This window comes from Homo sapiens, chromosome 11 (assembly GCF_000001405.40).
Source record: "Homo sapiens chromosome 11, GRCh38.p14 Primary Assembly".
NCBI lineage: Eukaryota > Metazoa > Chordata > Mammalia > Primates > Hominidae > Homo > Homo sapiens.
The window spans coordinates 121,023,124-121,048,375 of record NC_000011.10 but is presented as its reverse complement, the minus strand read 5'-3'; the positions used below and the strand labels follow the sequence as shown (position 1 = coordinate 121,048,375).

At 37.8% G+C, this 25,252-nt stretch overlaps 2 protein-coding genes across 4 annotated transcripts in view, besides 2 other annotated features; both read right to left on the bottom strand.

The window, feature by feature from the left end:
• The window catches only part of TBCEL-TECTA (TBCEL-TECTA readthrough), a 167,389-nt gene extending 143,115 nt beyond the window's left edge, over nucleotides 1-24,274 (bottom strand). Inside the window, exons 1-3 of the mRNA NM_001378761.1 lie at nucleotides 24,085-24,274; nucleotides 2,553-2,702; nucleotides 709-848 (exon numbers count right to left, since the gene is read on the bottom strand). Of these exons, the coding sequence (NP_001365690.1) occupies nucleotides 709-848; nucleotides 2,553-2,685 (273 nt within the window). The 5' untranslated portion in view covers nucleotides 2,686-2,702; nucleotides 24,085-24,274. The remainder of the gene's footprint in view (nucleotides 1-708; nucleotides 849-2,552; nucleotides 2,703-24,084) is intronic.
• TBCEL (tubulin folding cofactor E like) overlaps nucleotides 1-24,274 on the bottom strand; it is a 66,675-nt gene extending 42,401 nt beyond the window's left edge. Inside the window, exons 1-4 of one of the 3 annotated variants that reach the window (NM_001363644.2) lie at nucleotides 24,085-24,274; nucleotides 11,764-11,871; nucleotides 2,553-2,702; nucleotides 709-848 (exon numbers count right to left, since the gene is read on the bottom strand). In NM_001363644.2, the coding sequence (NP_001350573.1) occupies nucleotides 709-848; nucleotides 2,553-2,685 (273 nt within the window). In that variant the 5' untranslated portion in view covers nucleotides 2,686-2,702; nucleotides 11,764-11,871; nucleotides 24,085-24,274. The remainder of the gene's footprint in view (nucleotides 1-708; nucleotides 849-2,552; nucleotides 2,703-11,763; nucleotides 11,872-24,084) is intronic. The other 2 variants (NM_152715.5, NM_001130047.3) reach the window with 2 other exon arrangements.
• Nucleotides 24,021-24,290: a silencer, noted in NCBI's record as "silent region_3999". NCBI's record gives its function as "represses an Ori minimal core promoter by ATAC-STARR-seq in GM12878 lymphoblastoid cells {active_cell/tissue: GM12878}" and the evidence as "EXISTENCE:reporter gene assay evidence [ECO:0000049][PMID:35858748]".
• Nucleotides 24,311-24,460: a silencer, noted in NCBI's record as "silent region_3998". NCBI's record gives its function as "represses an Ori minimal core promoter by ATAC-STARR-seq in GM12878 lymphoblastoid cells {active_cell/tissue: GM12878}" and the evidence as "EXISTENCE:reporter gene assay evidence [ECO:0000049][PMID:35858748]".

Below are 25,252 nucleotides of genomic sequence, written 5' to 3'. Positions count from 1 at the left end.
ACAAACTATGTGTGTAGTTTATAGTTACTCTGAGGTCAAGACATCAGTTATGTCAAACCACCCAAGGGATTTGATAATATAAGAAAAGTTGTAAAATATTTGAATAAATTTCAATAACAAGAATAAATATATTTATATATATTCTCAGTTTCAACAATTTTATGTCAATTTTCAGTAATAAATATTGAAGTAGAAGTAGAGAATGAGCATAAGATGTATAAATTAGTGAAACAGTAGAAAATTTAATGCACTGTTAGCAGTTTAAGCTGACAAAGACTAATCAACCTCTTGATGCCTAAATTTCCTTAGTGATTGATGAAAACAAATGAACAATGAAAAATAAATTAACAATAACAAAGCAACAATAACAATAACAAAGCTAACGAAAAATCACCATAGATAGAGTCAGTTATTTGCCTTTTTTTTTTTTTTTTTTTTTTAAATTAAAGATGGGTTCTTGCTATGTTGCCCAGACTGGTCTTGAATTCCTGGGCTCAAGTGATCCTCCTGCCTCAGCCTCCTTAGCACTGGGATTATAGGCCTTATTTATCTTGATATAAAGACATACAGACAATAAGATATACAGACAACAAGAAGTCATACAGACATCAAGTGAGAACAGAATTTAGCAGAACATATAATAACATAAACAATGACACAATGGTTATTGCTGCTTTTCACTAAAATGTAGCAATATAAAAACTTCACCTCATGCCAGTCTTCGAGTTTGTTGTCAGAAAGATCTAGTTCCGACACATGAGCGCAGAAAGCAGCAATTTCTTTTTCATCTCCTGCACAGGTTATTCCACAGCTGTTCAACACTAGTACACTTGGGAGGTTGAGGCGATCTGAATGATGAGAGACACAAAATGTTTTCTATATCAGCCAAATTCTTGTCTACATATGTTCAGCCCCCAGGAAGTGTCAAGAAACAAAAATCAAACTGTGTGAAATTACATAAGGATCTAGAAAATACAGGATATAATGGGACCAAAGGGTACTGAATCCTAAGAGGAGACAGCCAGTTATTGCCCAGGAGGAGTTCAGAAGTACTGCACCCGTACCACCAAAAAAAGTCCTCTAGGCTTTAACTCATAGCAGGATTGTTTATCTCAATTACCAACAACAGAGCCCTCATCCACGCTATCATCTTATCATCTGAACAAGAGATCCATGAAATTCATGTGTGGACTACCAGTACTTTCTTATAGGCCTCAATTCTTTCTTTTTGAAATTTAGTTCCAAAGTATTCTGGATGGCTCTTTTCTCTCTATCTGATGTGTATCTTTATCTTTTGTGCCTCTGAAAATCATCTCAAACCATTAATCTACTAAATCACTTCTGTTAAGTTTACATCATTCAAGAAATCTTCCTCACTTAAGTGGATCCATTCAGAACTCTACATCTCTCTCTCTTGTCTATCAATTATCTCCATTTCATATCCCTACAGAATTTGTCCCTTATGAAAATTAGCCTTCTTTAAAAATTTAACTGTAATGGAAGAAAGTGTTTCAGTCTTAAACTATTAACATTGAATTTGGTCAAACTGAGGTAACAACTTTTTGACTACTGCCTGGTTCAAAAACACATGTGTCAATAAAATCACTCTTACAATCTCTACTAAAAAGGATAAACATGAGAATGCAACCACTCTTTTCCCATTTGGTATAAAACAAGGACTCATCAAGGTAGTACTTTATTAATGGAGACCTCAAATTACATGGTTTTCAACTTGCTACTTTCAGCAACATATTTATCACAGTGGGAATGGATCCCGGAAAAAAAAAATTACCAAGTAAGAAATCCACTTCTCTCTGCCATTCCAGGTTACATAGAGATAAAATTATTGTATTTAGAAACAGCAAACACTCAGTAACCTTTGAAAGTAAGAACTAAAACAGTGACTCAATATTAATCCCCCACAATTACAAAAAACTACTTCCAAGAACTGTTAATGGCAACATTAAGCTAAAAGACAAGCAAAAATATACCTTGCACACTTCTAGTTACAGATTTTTGCTCACATCTAATCCCTCTCCTAGAATGTATCTCATCTCTAACCAAATTCTACATTCTTGAAGAACTAGTTAAAATCTCACAGCTTTGAATCATTTCTTGATCATATTAATTATCTTTTAAATTTCTTTCCAAATCACTATACCATTCATTTGGCTCAACATAAATTGTCTTGTGTTTATTTACCTTTGTAAATGTGAATGTCTTGTAAACCAATTAGGCTATGAGGTCCTGGAGGGCACAGGCCAGTCCTGTACTGTTTTGTACCCTCTATGTTCCATAAAAGAATATGCATTTGAAATATTATCACTCAAATATTATTCCTGTCATACACATGCAACTAAAACATCTCTTAATCAATCTGGAGGAAAACCAGTCCTGTTACGTTCTTTAGAAAACTGAAATCATAACAAGGGGGAAAGACTATTTGACTGTAATTAAAAATAAAATAAATCATTTGCAAACAAGGCAACACTGTGATTTAACATCCTAAGTAAGCTCCACTAAATAAGTGTTTTAGGTCCCATCTTTCTTACCTTTCATAGGAGAGCCCTGAGGTGTGGCTGGGACATGGACTCCCATCCCCGGGCCACGGCGATAAGGAAAATTTTCAGGACTATATTTTTCACATAATACTTGCATGAAACTTCTTCCACTAGGTTGATCCATCTTTCTTTCTTAAAATGCTACAAGAAACCAAGAAATAATCAAATTATGTAATTATGTATTTACTCACATAAGAAGTATTTATTGAAAACCCATTATGTATAAAGTACTAGACTAGGCATTGCAAGACATATGATACTTAGTTACTGACCCCAGAAACATATACTGTGGTGACAGCTTACAATTTAGGGAAGCTACATATACAAATGACAGCAATAACAGTTGAGCATATATCTGCAATACAGATGAAAACTATTACAAGATTTAGAAGAGGAGTTGATCACTTCCAACCAAGGGCAATGAGAAGGCTTTTGGCTGGTACATAGGATTCATGTGGATAAGTAATTGAAGAAAGGTCTGAAAAAGAAGGTACAGATTGAACATCAGGCTAAACAGTTTGGATGAATCCTTTAATATCTGTCCCTAAAATCCATTATCTTCTTCCATAGTAAAAGAACCTTTAACTGGATAACTGGATAACTGTATTTGGGAATGAGTGCTGGCTAAGTTCTAGCTCATGGGCTAGAAACCAAGTATTCTGTGGCAGCTTCTAAGAATCATCGTTAAAAGATGACCAGAGTGTGCCACTTGCCCTCCTTTGTTTCTTCCTCCATCTGTTGCCTAGAAAACTGATGCCACCAGACAATGAACCCAAGGAATATACACTAAGAAAAGTGGGACGAATTGCTGAAAGGGCTCTGCATCCCTGAGGACTTCATGTAACTGAGCTGCCATACTGGTACATATCTCTGGAAATTTCAATGACAGATAAGTAACCTATTTTGCTTAAGCCATTGTTCTTCTCAATTTTTTAGTTACCTATAACTGGACCTAATCCTAAATAATACAAAATGTCATCTCTTTTGGTTCTGAGTTTGGGTAGAGTCCTTTCTGTTTAGCATCAGCTAAGGGTCCAAACACTGAATGATTCCAGCATCTGAGACGATGAGTACTGAGAAGGACTCATGCATACATTAAAACAGGTAATATTAAACAACACGCTAACTTCTAACAACCTGATAACTCATTACTTAAGGGGCTGGCCTATGATGCATATTAATCAAAATATAGGCAGCTAAAATTGACCTCTGTAATTTCAACTATTAGGTATCAGGCTTTTTTACTAAAATAATCAGTAGGGAGAAGGATATACAGGCTCTGGAGTACTCAGAGAAGAAGGGATATCATAAGAAAAGGAACTGTAGTCAAAATGTATTATGGTATATATGAGTAAGCACAAAATATCTGATGTTGCCAAAGCAGCCTGGCAATGGTAGACATTGTCAGGAGCATCTAACTAGGAGCCTCAGAGGAGATCTTGTATACCACATTAGGAGGTTTAATGTTATCCTACAGGAAACGGAAAAAACTGAAAGGTTTTAAGGAAGGGAATACAACAACGAAGTTTTAGGGAAAACTCATCCTGAGAATCATGGAGCTGATGAATATGCAGGAAACAAGACTGAAGGCTGGGAGAAGAGTTAGGAAGATACTGCAAAAATACAGCAGAGAGATCGTGAGAGCTTGAAGTGATTCACTGGTAGAATAAATAGAAAGCAGAGGCAGATTCACGATCATGTTAAAAAGCAAGCTATTCAGAAATTACAGGGGCTGAGGGAGAAGGTAAAGTCAAAAATGACTCCCAGGGTTTCTAGTTCAGGTGACCAGGTGACTGGTGATACCATTAACTAACAAGAAAGCAGGAACAGAGCCAGTTTTACAGAAGAAAATGATGAATTCCACTTTATACGTGTTCAATTTGAAGTGCCTGTGGAACATCCAGGGAAACAATCTGGAGTTGAATGAGAAAAATGAGCTAAAGATGAAGATTTGGACACCATTACGATATATAAAATTTTATGAATAAGGACAATAAGACAATAGTCACTGATATTTAAGGGACAGGCAGAGGAAACAGAGTCATGAAGAAAAAGAAAGAAAACAGCCAGACAGTAGAGTGTTTAGCCAATATTTTGAGAAGTTTTGCTGGGAGTGGAGAAGGAAGATGGGATGATAAGAGAGTAGGGAATCCAGGCAACTGTCAAGATTTTATATCTTAAAATAGGAAAGACCCAAACATGGTTATAGATTACAAGGGAGAAGCCAGTAGCCCTGAAGAGGCTGAAAAATCACCACCCGTACTTTTTCCTAGAAGAAACTAGCAGGAACAAGCACCGAAAAGCTTCTCAGAAGGCTGTTTGATATTAGCCAGATAATGCTTCAAATTGCTTCCAATTAGTGGTGACATATTTACTTCACTATAGTTACTGGTTTACTTTTGCTTATATTGTTTAATTATAATGAACGTTAGGTATTTTTCTTATGTGGTTATCCTATCTCTACCATTACATTATAAAGGGTAGTGGAACTGTGTAATCCTATTTCTTTCAGTATCAATTCATAGCATCAGGCATAGTTTATTATACATGGTAACGGTTTGATAAACGTTGCCGAGTATTAAAATCGCTAGCCTCTCAGGTGCTGAGAAGAAAGGGCAGAGAATTCAGGATGAAGGGCAGGTTTACGCCCACCCAGTTCTGACTACATAATAGTTTTGTGCCATCAGGCAAGTCACTGTTATCTCAAGTGTCTTCAACTATAAAATAAGGTATTAACGTCTCTACTATATGGATTACAGGGTTGCTGTAGAGCCCTAAAATATACAAATGCACTAGTTGGATTAAAGGGCCATTGTAAAGTTCTAAAATATATAAATGTTAATTCTAAGAGGAAGTTGTAGTACAATAGAAAGCACATGGACATAAGAAATTTAAGCTCTTTCCCTAGCTGGGTAAACCACAGGCTAATTATCTAATCTCTCCCTACTTTAATTTTCTCACTTATGTATGGTCTAAACCTTCCTCTCAGGTTTGTAATAAGAATTTGAAAAAAGTATGAATATAAAAGTGGTTGTTAAACTTGGCTCATTTCCTAGATTACTACCAGGACCATGATCTACTGGACTTTGTGGAATCAATTTACAAATGCCTAGAACACAGGAGATGCTCACTGAGCACATGCCCATCCACTGAACAAAAATTTTCATGATAAATGGCATCAATATCATAATGAGTAAAGTGACCTTGAAAATAGAGGGCTGCCCTTTGCTCAAGATTCCCATTTGTAAGCTAAAAGATAAGAGTTTGTTTTAGTACAAGACACTTTGTTCTTTCTAACCACACAGTGTTAAGTGTCTATATAGTGGCTGCCCTCTATTCCAACACTGAGTGTGTCAAAATTGAACTGTGTTGTGTTCAGCTAGGGCTTTCGGAACTTCAGGTTGAAAAGTTCTTTTTCAATGTAAACTCCTCACCACCAACAGCAGACAACATAGAGCAGGTGCTATGCCACTAGCAACAGGCACTATAGCTATTACCAAAAAAACCTGTCTCAAGCAGAATGCCAACAGAATTTTTAGAAATTTTTAACAAAAAAGCCAAGGAAGTTACATTGTTCTTTCATACAATCAGCAGTTCAAAAGAATAAAAAGTGTGTGGAGAGGGTGAACTGTCACTGTCAAAATAATGTCACTGAGTTTAAGCAGCACCTTTTGTCTGGAGCCTTCAGAACCACTTAAACTCAAACTTACACAATTCAAGGGCAATAATCTTATATACAATTTAAATACAGAGAAACGAAGGGATGGTAGGAAAGACGTATTCAAGTTAAAATGCTAGTAAGGAAGCAAACATGGGAACTTAAAAGCTTTTCCTCATGGTCCCATACTGTAAGAACTCTTCCAAATACGATTTTTTTTAAGACTTCTTTTTTTTTTTTTTTTTGACTGAAAAGCAACACCAAGTACCTTCATTGGTCATTTTCCAGGATACATTATTGGATTAGCTTTCCAGGAATGCAGATGGGCACACATTAATACATAGGTTTTGAATTAGAACATCAAGATTGTGAAATGGATTGGTAATGTAACTCTACTCAAAATCTGTTGGGGCAGTTTGAGGAGGAACAGTAGGTGGGAAAAAAGGCTGAAAACCTAACAGATTGAAAAATGAGGAAATACAGGATGGAAAAAGATCTTTCACTAGGGCCTTTACAAGGTTTTTGGGGGGTGGGAGGGTAATCTATGACATTTTGGAAATAACGTGTGTCAAATTACATCAGACTACCTCTATAGTTAGCAGAGTTCTAATGCATTTGTAAAACTGTTCTGAATTGGTGCTGAAAGCCAGAGAGCCAGGGATCTTTGGTGATATTGCTTGCTTCCATTACTAAGTTGTGAAGTGGCCCTGTGAAAATTTCAATTCGTTTGTGCCTCAAGATCCTGACTATAATATACTCTTGTAAAGTGCTTGGAAAAAGTCAGAATAATATATGAGTTGGAGGATAAGGTGCTCAGTACACTTTTGCCAATTACATTAAAATCAGAACAGAACATCCAGTCACCTTAGTACCCTTAACCACTACTGAGGTTAAGTACGCAAACAATTTGTACTTTATGTTCCCAATAAACGGGTTAGGTCAAAATTAGTAAGAAGCTCAACACAACTGAAAACAGAAAGTACGCCATGTCTGACCACTAACACTGGGAAACATATAAGATAGATCCTTTTGTATAATAAGTATGCAAGTCAATACTTATTTCACAAAGAAACAGCGTAGAGTAGTATACTTCAAAAAGTATGAACACTGCCAGCCTCACTAGCTAATTCCAAAAGATATAAAACGTACCCCACAGAGTGCTAAAACATACATTTTAAATCTTATAAAAATAGATTTATCTGCTTGTATATGCATAGACTATCTCCGGAAGGATAAAATAGAAATGAATAAAAGTAGTATCGACAGTTGACTCCAGAGAGAAGAAATGAGGAATACGAGTGGAAAGATTTGCTTTCCAATGTTTACCCTTTTGAACACTTGAATTCACCATGTGCATACATCATCTTTTTGAAATGTAAAGTGTTCTTAAGTAACATATCTGGAAATGACCTAATAGTTTGTCAAAGGGTTTTTTAATGTCTTCATTATTATAATATTTCTATTTTTAAAATTCCAAATTGGAATTTGTGTATGCAGAATATAAAATATTAATTTTGAAGAAACTGGGGAGTGAGGAAGAAAAGAGAAATAAAATAGATAAAAATAGAAATAGATAATTTTGTAAAACAACATCAGCACAGAAAAAGCAAGCAGAAACAAAGCATATCCAAGCCTGAGAACCAAACCACAGTGAAACTAAGAAGAGGGAATGAGATGAAGGTGAGCAGGCTGCCAAGGCCACAGCAGCGTTCTGCCCTTCTTTACCATGGCTTTCACAGGGGCAAAGCTAAAGCTCCACTATGGGGTGTACCAAAGGGCTGGAAGAATACCCTCAGCTTGCACAGTTCCATTTCCTTTGCTAGCCAAGTTAAATGTGTTAATACAAGTTACCCAAATCTTTCATCCAAATTACCCAAATTTGACCCAAATTCTGCTGATTCTGGAGCCATAAGCTAAGGAGGTGTGATGCCTTAAGATGGCTAGGAGATTCAGGCCTCTCTGTCACCTCTGACTGTAGAGATTAAAAAAGGAAAGAGAGGTGCTTCCTGAAGCAGGAAGCCATTTCTGCAGGTTTCAAGTTACTACAATAGTAGATAGTTGGGAACTGATTTGTGCTTTTGAAAAAGAAATCACAATAATTCAAATGTGCATTAATTTAGGATGGGGCTAAATCTTCAAGAAATTTTCATAGCTTTCACAAAAATGGAGAAAAGAAAAATACTCTCAAGTAGTTTAAAATTACCTTCAGTTATTTGACAAGGACCCATTTGTACAACGAATCAATCCTATCTATTCATCAGAGAAGGGCAGAAAAAACTACACTCTAAAAGCTACTGCCAATATTTTGCTACCACTATTTGAAAACAAAACTTCAGGTAAACAATTTGTCAAAGGCTCCACAATTTCACCTTTAGGTTCCTTGGGTCAGATGACATTTCATTCTAGTGATTTGCTATCCACTTGGGTAATTGTTTTCTTCACAAGACAACCTGAGAATGAGAATTTCCTTACCAATTGTTTAGTAAAAATGCAGACAACAAATACATTGTTTTCTCTGCCATCTCGTTTCATTTTCATACCTTAACAAATTCTCCCAATTAGGTTTATTTCCCCCATTCATTTATTTTTAAAATATGTGCCTTCATAGAGCTTAGTTTCATTTAGTTCAGTTCAACAAGCGTGTACCAGATGCTAAATCTACGCCAAACACTATGCTAAGCACTAAAGAAAGTGAGAAGGAATAAAATCCAAACTCTGCCCTCAGGGCATCCACACTCTAGAAGGAAATACATGAGATAACACATATCTAAAATAAGCCAGACAAGAAATAGTGAATTCAACATAAGAAGTGATTAACTTTCAGAAGTGTGATCAAGGAAGTAGGTGAATCCTGAGCCATTTTGAAAGATAAAGATTAGCTGACAGGGTGGGGAATGGCATTCCAGGTACAGGAAACAACAGCACATGAACAAACACAAGAGACTAGAAACAAGTGTTATCAGCTGTACTGCTAAAACATAAAATATGTGTGCTGACGAGGGGGAAAGCAGGAGATTCAACTGTGGAGGTGACAGCGGTCAGTAAGGTCATGACTTTCTTGGTCTAGACTTTATCCTGCAAAGATAAAACTAAGAAAAATTCTGAGAGATTACAGTGACTAGAGTGCAAGGATGAGGGTTATTGATCTTTATGCAGAATAGAGAGAGGTCAAAAATGAGAATTTAAAAATCAGTAAAGGACTGGGCAACTAAGAGTTTGTTTACCTTAGGAGAAGCACTTCCAGTACAGTTAAGGGAACAGAATCCATAGAATAGGGAGTTAAGTAAATAAGCCGAGAAAAGAGTAGCAATCATACCTTTGAGAGGCTTAAATGAAAGTGGACGAGGTGGGACAGTTGGTGGAAAAAAAACTAGGATTAAGAAAGAGTTGTTCTTTTTTTCTGAAAAAAGACAAAAGAGAAATGTATTGCCTGAATTTGCAGGGGGTCGGGGGAGGTCAGCAAAAACTAAGAAAACAAAGCCATAGGAGGAAAATCTCCCAGCTATCTTCAAAGAACCTCTCAGGACTGCTACCTTTCTCAAGTTTTGCAAGTTTTGTTTTTGTTTTTTTTTTAAGCCCATTAAATTTTCACTTTGTGAACTCTTCTTCTAACCTCATCTCCAAAAAGCTTTCTTCTTTTGAACAACTATCCACTGTATCCAAACTTTGCCAGATTCTTATACATTTTAAGTAGCTGGAATTTTTGTTTTGTTTTCTAAAGCAGTCTTTCTGATCTGCAGCCTAAGAGTATCCCCAAAAAGACTGATTTATTCTGGAAAAGCATATGTATATGTTACATATTTTTCCCTCCAGGAAAGATGAAATAAATCAACGAATAAAGGTCTACTAACGAGCTTTATTCTAAATATTTGCTTTTAAAAAATATAATGTTCGGCCAGGAGCAGTGGTTCACGCCTGTAATCCAAGAACTTTGGGAGGCTGAGGCAGGTGGATCACCTGGGATCAGGAGTTCGAGACCAGCCTGGTCAACATGGCGAAATGGTTTCTGTCTCTACTAAAACTACAAAAATTAGCCGGGTATGGTGGCACGTGCCTGTAGTCCCAGCTACTTGGGAGGCTGAGGCAAGAGAATCGCTTGAACCCGGGAGGCAGAGGGTGCAGTGAGTCGAGATCGTGCCACTGCACTCCAGCCTGGGTGACAGAGCAAGACTCCGTCTAAAAAAAAAAAAAAATTCATTCTGCATTTTTTACAATTTCCAATTGAAAATAAATAAACAACAACAACAAAACCAGTAACCCCACCATGTAGTTTCCCTTTTTATTAGCTAAGCTAATAATGTAAATAAGTATTATCAAAAGCTTTTCATATCTGAAGCACAGAGCCACATCCACACCAGGAGACTTTGGTTTAGATTTCACAAGCACATGAAGCCTGAGGATGCACCTCATGGTGTGTATCCTTCTAGATCATTTTTTCCATGCTATGTAGATATATATTTTTTACACAAAGATTAGATATATAGTTTTATAACCTGCCTTTTTGCTAAATAGTCCATGAAAAATTTTCCATGTCAAGAAGTGCATATCTACCTAATCATTTTTAAGGTTTATAAAGTATTCCATTAGTAAGTTTTTGGAGCTAAAGTCATGAATGACAGCTATCTCTCCCATATAAACACTTCTGGGACATTGACCAAGTCAGCGTAATTAGGCTGGATGGTCTCATTCTGTATGGCACTTCCAATTTCATTTATCCTGAAGTATCTATACCTGTGAGTCTATCTCAGTTATTACCCTTGAGCATTATGTAATATAGCTAAGTGGATGCTCTCTTTGGATGAAAAGGAAAATAAACTAATTCTAATAAACTTTTAGCACTATTTTGTAGAATTATAGTTAGCCAATTCACTAACTTAACTCTTAGCATTCTAAAAGCAAAATAAGTGTAGCTGATAAATCCCTTATCATAACACACCATGCCACCACGATTTCACACCCTACTAAGAACCACCCTATGTCTCAAAGTCTACTGCTCAACTGTATACTACACTATACCCAAGTGTAGTAATGTGGCACATCAACCTTTCTTGGTAGGAGGTTTTTTAAAAATCCAACACTGCCAGATGAAATGTGAATTTGGACTCCTGATCATTCCTTTAATTATGCTATCAATCAGCCATTACCACCCTCTTCTTCTATCACAGTACTATGCTTCTCCTTAAAAGCACTACAAACATTAAAATACCTATCAAAAATTCTTTATTTCATTGTATTAGTGGCAAATATATCTAAAACTGTGACTATGTTATCAGTGAGAAGTACAGCCTCAGAGCTGTCTATATTTTCTACTAAAGAACTACGTTGCATATAAGGCACTTTAGATGTTGAACAAAGACACACACTTTTTTCATCAATAACTGCACATTAGCAACTATGACTGACTCTCATGCTTGTAGTCCACCATACATAAACACAGCCCTTGAAATTTCTGATCCAAATACACTAGCCCCAGAATGTCATAATTTTGATGAGAAATATGAGGGGAAAAAAATTAAGACAATACTACTATTTAGACTGAAGTACCTGTTTGTGTGATATTTCTAAACACTTCTTTCTTCATTTCCATAGCCTCTCCTCGTCCAAAAATGTTGGTTTAAACCAACTGTCTATATCCCTATTAAATTAGACATTCTGAAATATAAGACAAAAACACTTTGCATATACTTTCAGCAACAAAAACAACCAAAAAGGTTTAACATTCACTGACTTTTACTCCAAGGGCTTCCAAGGAGACTTCCACCCTGCCCATCCCTCCACCCTCACTCTGCCCCACCACACACATCCCCAACTCCTTTACAAACAAATTTACATCTACTCCTACCTTTCTATTTGGCCCAGATTCGATCTGGTAAAATTCCAAGGCTTTCAAGTTGCATTTATTCAAAGCAGGATCAGATACATTTACTCCTGAACTGATGTCCCCAAACCAAATGTCCCCACACTGAGATTAACAATCATTTTAAAGCCTAGTAGTTTTCCATAACCACTCTCTGAAACAGAAAAACTAACTTATCTCTATTTACAGGATACGAAACTGGGGGAACTTGCTTGGGTTTTTGTGGCCTTACCAGCGTGCTAAGTCATACTTTCTGTAGCTCTAATCTGTTAAGCCAATCCATCTTTACCAAAAAAGGAGTATTTCATGTCAACAGTACACAACATCACACACGAGACATGGAAACATAACTTACAAAAATGTATGAAATCCATTACAGCCAAAATTCCTCTTGTAACCACATCAAAGTAACTGAACCAAAAAACTAAGCAACAGTACTGAGTGGTCTAATTATCAAAGGGGAAAAAATTATTCCCAATTTTTCCATCCTTCCAAAAAGCAAGATTCTTTTTCTTGAATACATTAGGTTTCATCAGAAGAAAATCATATATGCATGTTTTCTTTCCGCTGTGAACACACAAGTTTAAGGTCATTACTTAGCTGTTTACAGAACAGATTACCCCCATTATCTGTGCTCTTGAGCAGCTACAGAAGCCATCATGTTAAGGAAAAGCCTCATTAGGAACAGACCACTAGTTCATCACTCTACAGCCTTCCAGAGCAGTTTACAAACCACCCTGGCTAATAACCAGGGATTGCCAGAATGTTGAAACATCAATCACGCATAAAGGTTGCAAAAGTCTGCAGGTCATTAAAAAAAAAAAAATCCACGTTTGTTTTTGTTTTTTTTTTCACTAGCTCCTCCTACATTTAGTGCTATGGCAATACTGCCCAATGGTAGTAAGTACTGGTTCTAAAACTAAACGCCCTGGGTATGTAAATCCTGACTGATTCCACTACTCTGTGTAACTGTGGGCAAGTTACTTAAGTTCTCTAAGTCTACCCCTCTTCACTCACAGGAAGGGGTAGTAGCCTGTAACTCCTAGCTCATAGGGTTACTGAAGAATGAATGGAGATAATATTGGTAAAGGGTGGTTAGCACAGTGCCTGGCACATAGAAAGCACTTAATAAATATTAGTTTACTATTACTTCTCCTGCTTCCCCTATTACTACTACCATCATCACTTAGTGAACATGGCAGCGTGAACGGAATGTAGAGCTGGAGGACTAACTTGCAATTTTTGTTAAATAAGCTAATTTTTAGGTCCAAGGACTATGCTAAATTAATGCCAATTAATGATTTGGCACAGTAAAAATGTCTGACACTTATGCTATTCCTCCTTAATTGGAAGAGCTTGCCCTTACCTCTCCACCTATCTGAATTTTATGCATCCTTCAACACACTACTCAATATATACTTTAGAGATGAAGCGTTTTCAGATACCTCTCCCTATAGCGATGTTTCCTTTGAGCTAAGTTCATGTTAATCCAGCCTGAAATACTCAGTGGGCGATTAATCACATACTGGCATGTCATCTTTTCATTTTAAATAATATACCCTTATTTTTCATGTGTTGCAATGTAACTTTCATTTGTTTGTCTTGTGACTTCAAACTGTATAGCTCTTGAGAGTAATAACCATATCCTAATGCTTGTTTGTATCTAGCATATACTGGAAACTTGCATATAATTGACACCCCATAAATGTGCTAATCAGTAGGTTTTCTAATCACTTCTGATTGTGCATACCAAATATATTTTCTGTAATATGAAAAATAGATTGACTAATAAACTCTGAAATCAAAGTACTTTAGAAACAAAAATTCTTCATAGCTACGGCTAGAATACATAATTGTATCTACTCCACGGAGATTCCAAAAGAGGTGCCATCATGTCACAGTCAGAAATATTTGCCACTACAAGTTATTCAGCAAAAAACACAACCACAAAAGATTTCATACTGAATATATGATTTTTGTACTCCTACTGTACCTTACAACACATATGCAAGAGTTAATAATTTATAACATACTTCAGAACAATAGGTGCTGCTCAGTAACTCAATATTAATATATGTGCACTGCTGGTAGGAATGCAAATGGTACAACTGGTGTGGAAAATATGATTGTTCCTCAAAAACTTAAGCACAGAATTACTATATGACCCAGCAATTCCCCTTCTGGGTATCTACCCAAGAATCAAAAGCAGGAGTCAAAACTTATTTGTACACCAATGTTCACAGTAGTATTATTTACAATAGTCAAAAGGTAGATAAATGGATAAACAGAATGTGACAGATACATAAAATACTATCAGCCTTAAAAAAAAATTTGACACATGCTACAACATATATAAACCTTGAAGACATGATGCTAAATGAAATAAGCTAGAACAAATCGTGTATGATTCCACTTACATGGGGTAACTAGAGTGGTAAGTTCATTGACACTGTAGAATGGTGATTGTCAGGAGCCAGAGGGCACGGGGAGTGGAGAGTTATTAATTAATAGGTACAAAGCTTCAGTTTGGAAAAAGAAGAAATTCTGAAGCTGATTGATGGTGATGGTTGCATAATAATGTGAATGTACTTAATGCCACTAAACTACAAAACGGTTAAAATGATAAATTTTATGTTACGTACATTTTACTACAAAATAAACATTTTTGAAAAATACAGGAATATAGTGTATGCTATATAAAAAAGATGAATATAGGTGAGGTCTACCATTTCTGATTCCTACTCTCAGCACTTATCAAATTAATGCAAATAATTCACTTGAGGATCTTAAATCAGGAGGGATAAAACAGGCAAGTCTCAATAAATACATTTAGTGGGAGATCTAATTTACGATGTATACAATCTTCATTTATCTTTTTCTTGGAATCCTTTATCAATGTTCATGAGGAAAATCATCACTAATGAGGGACTAATAGAGCCAATATTTAAATTTCAACCTCCAAAGGGCATTTGCCTTTACAAAACTTATGCCTTGTTATTAATGCCTATGAGAAAATATGATCCTCACAATTCTCATATAATAAAAGTTTTAATAGTTTAGACTTGTTTTCAACATTTTAAGAGTTGCAATTCTTTCCTAAAATTATTTCCTTCAATTTACCTATGAATAACATGATTATAAATATAATAAAGGTATTCCCAAAAGTCTTTTTATTGACATAATGGCATCTATCAGAAGACTTAGTATTACAAAGATTCATAGCATTATTCTCTTAAAATAAAATGCTATAAAGATATGTGTAAATATGACAGAGAGGGGAAAGTGCTAATGCTAAGTTTCCTAAAAAACTACCTCTCTCCCAGTATTTCATAGGTTGAGTCTCATTCTTCACAAATTCCCTATCTACAAATTTCCCTACTTGCCAAAAGGTACTTGTTACAACAAAATCAATACTTGCAGCATTTTTGTGGTCATTTGCAGATAAGCACAAAGTGACAAAAAATTTGAGTTGTTCAACGGGTATGTTCCCTGCTGAGGTAGAACAAGGTGGCACTACGCCTTCTTGTTTCAGCTCTCAAAATATAAACAAGTGTCCTTTCCATGATCTATCTAGTGCCATGCTTTTCATATTTTTGTGCTTTTTGTTGGTGACTTCACTATTTAAGTGGTCCCCAAGGGTAGTGTTGAAATGCCATCTAGTGTTTCTAAAGCATGAAGCACGAGGAAGCTGCAATATGCCTTATGGAGAAAATGCACAATTAGATCACTTTATTCAGGTATGAATTTAGGGCTGTTTGCAGTTAATTCAATGTTAACGAATCAATGATACATATTAAATGTCTTTAAACAGAAACTAATATAAAACAAAATTATCTATTTATCACTTGACAAAAATGTTATGATCAGAGGCTCGCAGGAACCTAATCCTATATTTCCCCTAGGAGTAACAATTTCCATATTCATTAATTCACTGTTCATGGCAACTTCACATAAAAGTACTGTAAATAACAAGAATCAACTGTATTCTGTTAAACAACCCTGGGGAAGAAAAATAGACCAATGAAACAGAGAACAGAGCCCAGAAACATGCCCATGTAAATATGGCAGGGAAGCAGCACAGAGATCACTAGAAAAACATTAAGCTATTCAATAATTGGTGCTAGGACAGTGAATAACAATCTGGGAAAAGATGAAATTGAATCCTTACCAAAAAATTCACCTCCACATAAAATATGAAAGCAAACTTTATCTCCTTGAGAAAAAAATAAGTTATTTCTTCTAATAGGAAAAGAACTTTATGATCTTGATTTAGGGAAATATTTCATAAAGAAAACATTTTTAAAATCCATAAAAATAAAGTTAAGCAGCCAAATGAAAACTTGGCCAGTCATGGTGGCTTACATCTGTAATTCCAGGACTTTGGGAGGCCAAGGCAGAAGGATCGCTTGAGCCCAGGAGTTCAGGACCAGCCTGGGCAACATAGCAAGACCCCATCTCCACAAAAAAATCAGTCGGGCATGGTGGCATGTGCCTGTAGTCCCAGATACTTGGGAGGTTGAGGTGGGAGGATCACTTGGGCCCAGGAGGTGAAGGTTGCAGTGAGCAGAGATCATACCACTGCACTCGAGCCTGGCAACAGAGCAAGACCCCGTCTCAAAAAAAAAAAAAAAAAAAAAGAAAGAAAAAAGAAATACTTTCAATCATCAAAAGACATTAAAAACATGAAAAGACAAGCCAAAAACTGGAAAAAAGATACTTGCAACACGTGTAACTAATACAGAGAACTCTTAAAAACAGTAAGAAGGAGGAAGACAACCTAATAGGAAAATGGACAAAAGACATAAACAAGTACTTACTAAAAGATAAAATTAAAATGTTTAACATATGTAAAAGATGCTCACGTTCAATAATTTTCAGAGACAAAAATTAAAATCTCAATGAGATACCATTTTATGCAAATCAGCAAAACTTAAAAACTCTGACAATACCAAGTGTTGGAGAAAATGCAGAAGAACAGAAACTGGCAATGTAGCCAGTGGGAGTATCAACTGGTACAAACACCTTGGAAAATAATTTATTACTGTCTAGTAAAGTTGAAGACGCACATACTCTATGATCTAGCAATTCCACTTCTCAGTATAAACTCTACAGGAACTTGTAGTGTGCACCAGGAAATAAGTAAAAGAATGTCCGTAACAACAGCATTGCTTAAAACTGCAAAAATCCTGGGAGGATTGCGGTGGGGGGGAATGCAGTGTGGAGAAGCCCTTATATCTAAGAACAGGCAATTGGGTAAATTACAATATATTCATAAAATAAAATGTTACACAGCAATGGAAATTAACAATTGGTAGTTCATTATGCCTACTTCCTCATCAACATGAATGGCTTTTGAAAAACAGTGTTGATTTGTTCACACAGGGCAGAAAAATAAAACAATGCTGAATGGGTAAAAAAAAAAAAAAATCACAAGAATATATACAGTATAATTCCATTTATACAAAATTTTAAAACATGGAAATTAGCCATCTTATCATTTAAGGTTGCGTACATATATGGCAAAAACTGTAAAGAAAAGGCAGAGAAAAAAACACAAAATTCAGAATAGTGGTATCCTTAGTGGATAGTATGATCAGGAAGGCAAAAACAGAACTCTGAATTCCCTCTCCAAATCTGCTCCTCTTCCACTCATTCCCATCTTGGAAGTTATATTTGACTTTTCTCTTCTTCTCATACCCCTGTGTAACTAATCAGCAAGACCTATCAATACCACATCCAAAATATCCCAATTTTGCCCAATTTTGTCCATCTCTATTACTTTATTCTTGTTCAAGCCATCATCAACTTCTCACCAGGACCTCTGCATTAGCCTCCGCCCTGGTCCCTCTTGACTCTTATACAAATCATTCTCCACAAAGCAGCCAAGTGATCTTTTCAAAATTTAAGTCAAATCATGTCCTTTACACTCTCCAATGGCTCCCCTTCACATGCAGAATAAAATCCAATCTCTTCATCATGGTCGCCAAGGATTCATTTAATCTGATCACTGCTTACATCTCTAACCTCATTTCCTCCCACTCCTTTCCTGGCCCACTACTCAGCCTCCGTGGTTTTCTATTTCTCAGACTTGCCAAGCTGATTTCCCCCTACAGCCTTTGCATTTGCAGGATTGCCCTTTTCCTGTCTCTTGGCAGAGCTGCTTCATCTCAGTGTTTAAGTCTCAAATTTAAACACAAATGTCACCCTCTCAAAGAGGCTGCTTCTGACCACCCCATCAAAAATAGCACTACTGCCACCATCACTCATAGTCACTTCACCCTCTGTCATTCTTTATAGCACTTATCATAATCCGTTAGTTCAGTGTTTGTTCTCCAGCAGAAGATAGGTCCCACACAAGCAGGGATTTGTCAGTCCAGTTCAGTTTTGTGCAGAGCAGTGCCTGGCATATGATTAAAAAATATTCATTGGATAAATGGAAAAGTGAATTTCATTATCAATAGACATGAAGCAACACCTTCTGACAGTGAAATGAAAATGAAGCTCACCAATGGCAGAATGAGAAGAAAAATTTTGAAAATCACCGGAAACGCATTATTCCAAGAACAGTTTTAAATAACTTTTCACAATAGTACTTGTTATGGATCACATTCCTAAGAATGATTAGTGATTAATCAAAGTTTCACACAGTTTTAAGATCCTGAATTTGGGAAATGGGCTACCTGTTTAAATTTCATTTTTAGAAGAGCACTGTGATTAAAAGCATGGTCTTCAGTTAGTTCTGAGTTCACTTATGACTACTGTGTAATTTGAACAAGTTACTTACCTATCTCTATGCCTGCTTCCTCACTTGTAAAATGAAGCTATTAATAGCCATTTCACAGTTATTGTGAAGACTACATGAAATAAAGTTTTTGAAGCATCTAGTTAAGTACCTGGCATGAAGTAAGTGGTCAATAAACTAGTTATTATTGTGAAAGCTGAGACGTCCAGACAAATGGAGGAGCTGATATGAGTCAAATAAACAAACATCCTCCCCTTTTGGCAGAGGTGGGAATACATGCCAGGATTAAATCGTTTTTCCCTCCAAAAAGACAAATGTACACAAAGGTAATATATAAGAAGCATGGACAAAGGACTTTGAGAACACTGAGGGAGTGACTGTCTTCACTAAGGAGGTCAGTCACATGTAAAACTGAGTTTTACAAGACAGCAGCAGAAATGTACTAGATGAAAAGAAGGGGAAAGCATCTGCACAAACACAAATGAGTGAGAAATGCAAAATAAAGTGAGAAATGTAGTGTAGTTGGTGTAGAGTATAGAGTATATGTGGGAAGACGGCTAGAAAATAAAGAATTGGTAGGGCCAGATGGTAAGGGGCTAAGGTCCACCATTCAAAAGTTTGCACTTTATTCTTCCATCAGTGGGGAGATGAAGGGGAAAAATCCTAACATGCTAATTTGATACCAATTCTTCTAAAGAAGGCGGAAACACCTTTATGACTTTAAACACCACATAGGGCCACAATCTGTTAATGTAAAATAGAAAATATTTTAAGCCTTAGTTCTTAAAACCATATGAGCAATTTGTTTGTTAACAATGACTGATCTGGAACCTCTCTTCATGATGTTTTATTATTACTGCGGTGACCACTGTTGTGCTAGGCATCATCATGACAGCAGATAAAATCTATTGTAAGTTTATTATGTGTTGTGTACTGTGTTGTTTTATATGTATTATCTCACTTAGTTATCACAACACTTTTATAAGGGGTACTATTATCCCATTTTGCAGATCAGAAAACTGAAGCAGAGAGGTTACGGGCCCAGAGCTAGTGACAGAGCCAGGACTCAAATCTAGGCTGACTTCAAGGCCCTAAAATTAAACCAGTTTGCTGAATTATGATATTGCTCAGTTCATTAACATCACTTGCTGAAAAGTTATTTGAGTACCTACTGTAATTTAAAGCATCAGGCTAGGTCAGTGACTTTTAACTTTTACTGTATGGAAGAATCATCCAGACAGCTTGATAAAATGCAGATTCCTAGATTCCACCAGAGATTCTGATTCAGTAAGTCTAGGTCAGAATTCAGGGATCTGCTTTATTTTATTTTATTTTATTTATTTATTTATTTTTTTAAACAGTGCCTCACTCTTCTTGCCCAGGCTGGAGTGCAATGGTGTAATCATAGCTCACTGAAGCCTCAACCTCTGAGGCTCGTGATCCTCTGGCCTCAGCCTCTCAAGTAGCTGGGACTACAGGCATATACCACTATGCCTGGCTAATTTTTTAATTTTTCATAGAGATGGGTCTCCCTACGTTGCCCAGGTTGGCTTTGACTCCTGGATTCAAGCGATCCTCCTACCTCGGCCTCCCAAAGTGCTGGGATTACAGGTGTGAGCCACAATGCCTTGCCGGATCTGCATTTTTAACCATACGTTCAGTCAATTCTGATCTACTTGGTCTATGAACTACGCCCTGGTAGACCCTGTGCTAGATGTCCTAGTTTTTCATGGATATTTGAGCCTCCTGTTCACCACGCATTTATAATCTAAAAGGGATAAAAATAAGGTGCACAAATAATACAAAGCAATATAGCAAAGGCAGTACAGACAACATAAGCAACAAAGACTTCAAAGAAGAGGGGTCATCTGAAATGAAATGAGAGTGAGTAGGATTTCATGAAGAAAGGGAACATTTTATATGCAGACTTTCAGGGATAATTTTACACACAAAGGAAGGTACATGAGCAGAGGCCTTGGCAGGTAGAGGAACTGCATTTAGGAGTGTAATGATGATGCCAGAAAAAAAGTAGAGGAAGTCTGTAGAAGGCCCTAAATATCAAGCTAAACACCATGGGCTTTATTCAGTGCCTGTACTGGAAAGCAGCTAATGGTTTTTGAGGAGGGAAATGAAATAATCATAGCAATATCCTTTGGAAGAGTTCTCTCATGAAGCTATGCAAGCAAAAGACAATGGGAACAGTCCAGTTATTACCATTCTAATTCCAAAGAAGTAAGTCAGAATGGGTAGCATGAAAAAGGGAGGAATAGTAAATCTCAATAACTAATCACGTGTAGGAGAAAGGCAACAATCGCAAATAAGGATTCCTTCACCCTTTAAGCCCAAATTGTATCACTATCAGTTTCACATTACTTCTTATACAGCTAACCAGGCCCAAAATATATAAAGAGTTCACTTATTTAAAACACAGCCCAGGACTAAGTAAACTGGTCTCTAAGTAGCCAACATACATGTCACACAGTTCACACACTAAGAAAAGGAAAAAAAAGTATTATATAACAAATATAAATATCTGATTTTCAAAACCATAGTAGTTTGGAGGCAAAAATTAGAAGGAGAAAAGAGCCTGCTACAGGTGGACAGGCTTAAGAGTCTAAGGATCAGAGAAGAAACAAAAACTATTAAAAAGCACACACAATCACTCAGGGTCACTTCTCCGTAACTGTTTATTGACAAGTACATATGATTCCCAGAAAAATGAAATAAATAAGAATCTTCCTTAATGTTCCAGGCACCTACAAAACAAAATCTTCTTTAAACATTCATTAAAGCTAAATATTTTAAAACAAATATTTCCCTGATTAAGAGGTCATTTTTAAAGGATGGCTGATATATGCCAGCATAACGCCTCTATCAGTACCTAATAAATAATTAAAGGCAAGAAAGATTTATAACACACAAAGTTCAAAGATGATAGAATGTTTTCGTAAAGCATTTGATCAAGAATGTGGCCCCACTGATGAAGTTTTAACTTGGGTACTTCTGTCCTGATGACCGTGTCTTTGAATTCTATGTTACAAATAATACGAACTCATCCTCAAAAAAAGAAACGCTATTAAACTGGTCTTAAATACATACCCTGTGTACCTACTGAAATTAGACAACATCCTTTGACACTCAATGTCCTGCAGCAATAGGCTATGTAACAACTTTTCAAAGGACTTTAACATTACAACATTTAACATTACATGAAGGACTCTCACTTTGTTCACCAACAGTCATTAATGTTTATTATGAATTAATACTATTTTTCTAAGGACCCCACCTAAAATTTTTGTAAGGGGAATTAAGATGTTAACTGATTGAAAGTTATACTTAGGTTTATGATTAAGTTTATATACCAAAGCCGTAGACTGTAAGGCTTTTAAATATGTCTATGGCTTTGGTATATATTTTATCGTGTATTTTTCATATATTTTTCATCATGTAGCAAAAAGTATATCATAATAATTACTGCAGTAAGAAGAATTTGGGATGTTTTTAAATAGCAGAAAAGAAAATCAGTGTATCTTCACAACATTGGAACAGTAAAATAAAATTTCTTTAACTATGTTGTGATAAAGCAACTAAGTGGAACTAGGCCTCTCATATTTCTCAGACACAGCAAAGGATAAAGGAAACTAAAACACACACGCATACAAAAAATTTCATCAATCAAATGATCAGGCAACATCAAGATATTAAAGATCAAGATTATGGTCCTTCAGAAAACACAGGTCAAATATGCTACGTGGTATAAACATCTAAACCGAAGCAATCAATTGCACCTAGCTGCCCTCCTCCCTCTCCCCCGGCCAAAATAAAATAAAAAAAAAAAAAATCCATCTCCTTAGAATCATCCCTGCTCTTTAGAAGCTTACAGAATGAGGACACTGATTGACACCAAATAAATGTGCTTCAGAAACAGTGTTTTTCAAACTGCAAGTTGTGACCCACAAATCATCAATTTAGTAAATGTCAGCCAGCATTTTTTTTAATGCAAGAGGGTGGAATATAATAGAAATTAGCAGAACATATCACATATAATAAGGGTAAATACTGCTTTGTGAAAGTTTCCCTTCATACCTACGTATGTACTAGATCTGAATGTAAGACATACTTATTACTGTGGGGCATAATTTTTTTTTTTTTAAGTTTGAAAGCTACCACCCTAGAGATCTGGGTCTAATGCATCTCAGGACCCAAAGAGTGAATGTTTTCCTTAGTCCTCAGCACCTATTCATACTCTTTGCTCAAGATAGACTACTGGAAACGTAAGAGCTCCACAGCAGCATGACATGAACAAGGGACAAGCCCCAGCTCAGCCTGTATTTGGACTTGAAAGCATTACCAACTTCTCTCAACAGCCCTAGGCGTTGCCTACAAGCTCTTTGTAGCCTAGCAACCTTCACAGTAGAGCTCCTCCTTTCTCCACTGACTGTATACAGTTCAACACTTCCAACCAACTTTCCTCAACTACAACTTCTGGAATCACTGTGTCCCAAGAAAAGACTATTAAATCTCCTCTCTTCACCAATTCCCAGAATGTCTTCCTACTAGCGGACCTAGAACTCAACAGAGAAGCTCCACACAGATCCTTACTTCCCCCAAGATCCCACGACAAGGCACCCGCCTGTCAGTCCAACACCCTCGTTCTCAGTCTCCCAACCTTGGGGCAAATCTTTTCTCCCAAAAGCCCTTATTCAATTACCACATCCACATCCTTTTATCAGCCCCTGGTAAGAGCAGGCCTAATGTCCCAAGGGCCTAGACATGCCCGTCCTTCCCCCAGCAAACCTCCCTGGGGACATGTCCTCTTTTCTGGGATTCAGTAGTTCAGAGACAAGTTTCCTATTTCCCCAGCAGTCCCAGACACGTCTCCCTCTTCTAACAGCTGGGAGGCATCTACCCATCCCCCACGCTGGGGCAAGGTGAGACGCCTAGATTCTCCCAGGAACCCGGGCAGGCTCCCCAACACGCCCTCCTCCAACCCGGGACCAGTCCCCCAGCCCAGCCCAGCCCAGCCCAGCCCAAGACCCTCCCAGCTCCGCCATAGCCCAGGCCAGGCAGGCCCCATCCTCCCTCTAGCCCCAGGGCAGGTCTCCCATCCCCACAGCTGCTCGAGACAGGCCCCATGTGGCTTTCACCCTTCCCCGAGTGTCCTATCCCAGCACCCTGCAGGAGCGACCCTCCGCGCCTCGGCTCCAGAGGGGAACGCCTCGGGCCTCGAGAGCCCGGCAGAGCCAGCGGGCCCGGCTCCACTCACCCCTCAGCCCGGGAGGCGGGGGAGCTACTGCGGCGGCTCCTCTGGCTGCGCCTCTCCTCCCCCCTCCCGGCCACCGCTGTCGCCGCCGCTCAGCCTCGGGCCTGGTCCCGGCCAGCCCCGGCCCGGCGCCGCTTCACCTAGTCCCCCACTCTGGCCGCCGGAGCCCAGTGTCCTGCATTGACCCGGAAGCAGCTTTCCCGGCCCAACAACAACACGTGACCCCGCCGCACGTGTCACGTCCGCTGCGTGAATGGGAGGGGGCGCCGGAGGAGCGGGTCCTCCCCAACCGCGCTGGGGTTGCCATGGCGACGGGGATGGCTGCACTGGCTTAGGCTTTACCACAAACACCTCATCTGCTCTTTCTCGTGCCCACCCATTGAGTGGACAATCCCCAGGGGCAGAACAGGAGTACACATTGTCATATCAGAGGACAATAGGGGCTGCAGAAAAGAGCATTGGGCTGAACCTTTCCAGAAACACTTGGAATCTTGGCCTGGCTCTGTTACTGATTTGCTGTGTGACCTTGACCAAGTCTCTTCCTATCTCTGGCTTCAGTGTCCTCAACCATAAAATGAGGGAACTATACTAGATGAGCCCTCAGGGTATGGTGGCAGTCTGACCTTTCTTCTGTGCCCCCTTCACAAGTGGCATCCCGAGCTTCCAACACCAATGTAGTAACAGCAGCTTTCATTTATTGAGCACTTTCTAGGTACAGGCACTGCGCATGTGCTATTTTTAATTTTTACAGCCCTCCAAAGAGATGGTATTTATAGAATTGAAAACAAGTTCAGAGTGCTTAAGTGATCTGCCCAAGACCACCCAGTTAGTAAATGTGACCAGGGTGAGATTTGAATCCAGGTCAGGCTGGCACCAGGGTCCATGCACTTCACTTTATGCCACGCTATTGCTCCAACTCCATGCATAGTATTACTATATCTGACTGTTGAGCTGTGATTGCTTATGTACTCCTTCGTCCATTTCTTTTGCAGAAACATACATGGAATAGGCGTGGTGCTGGCTCAACCCCAAGTGAATTCAGCCTTGTATGGGAATGTCCCCTGAAGTGCTAGGAGATGAAGATGTCTTTGTGCATAAAGTGTATGTGCTTCTGTGTGGTGTGTGCCAGAAAAGACGTGGGGGATGTAATGTGCATGTGCATGTCTGCATT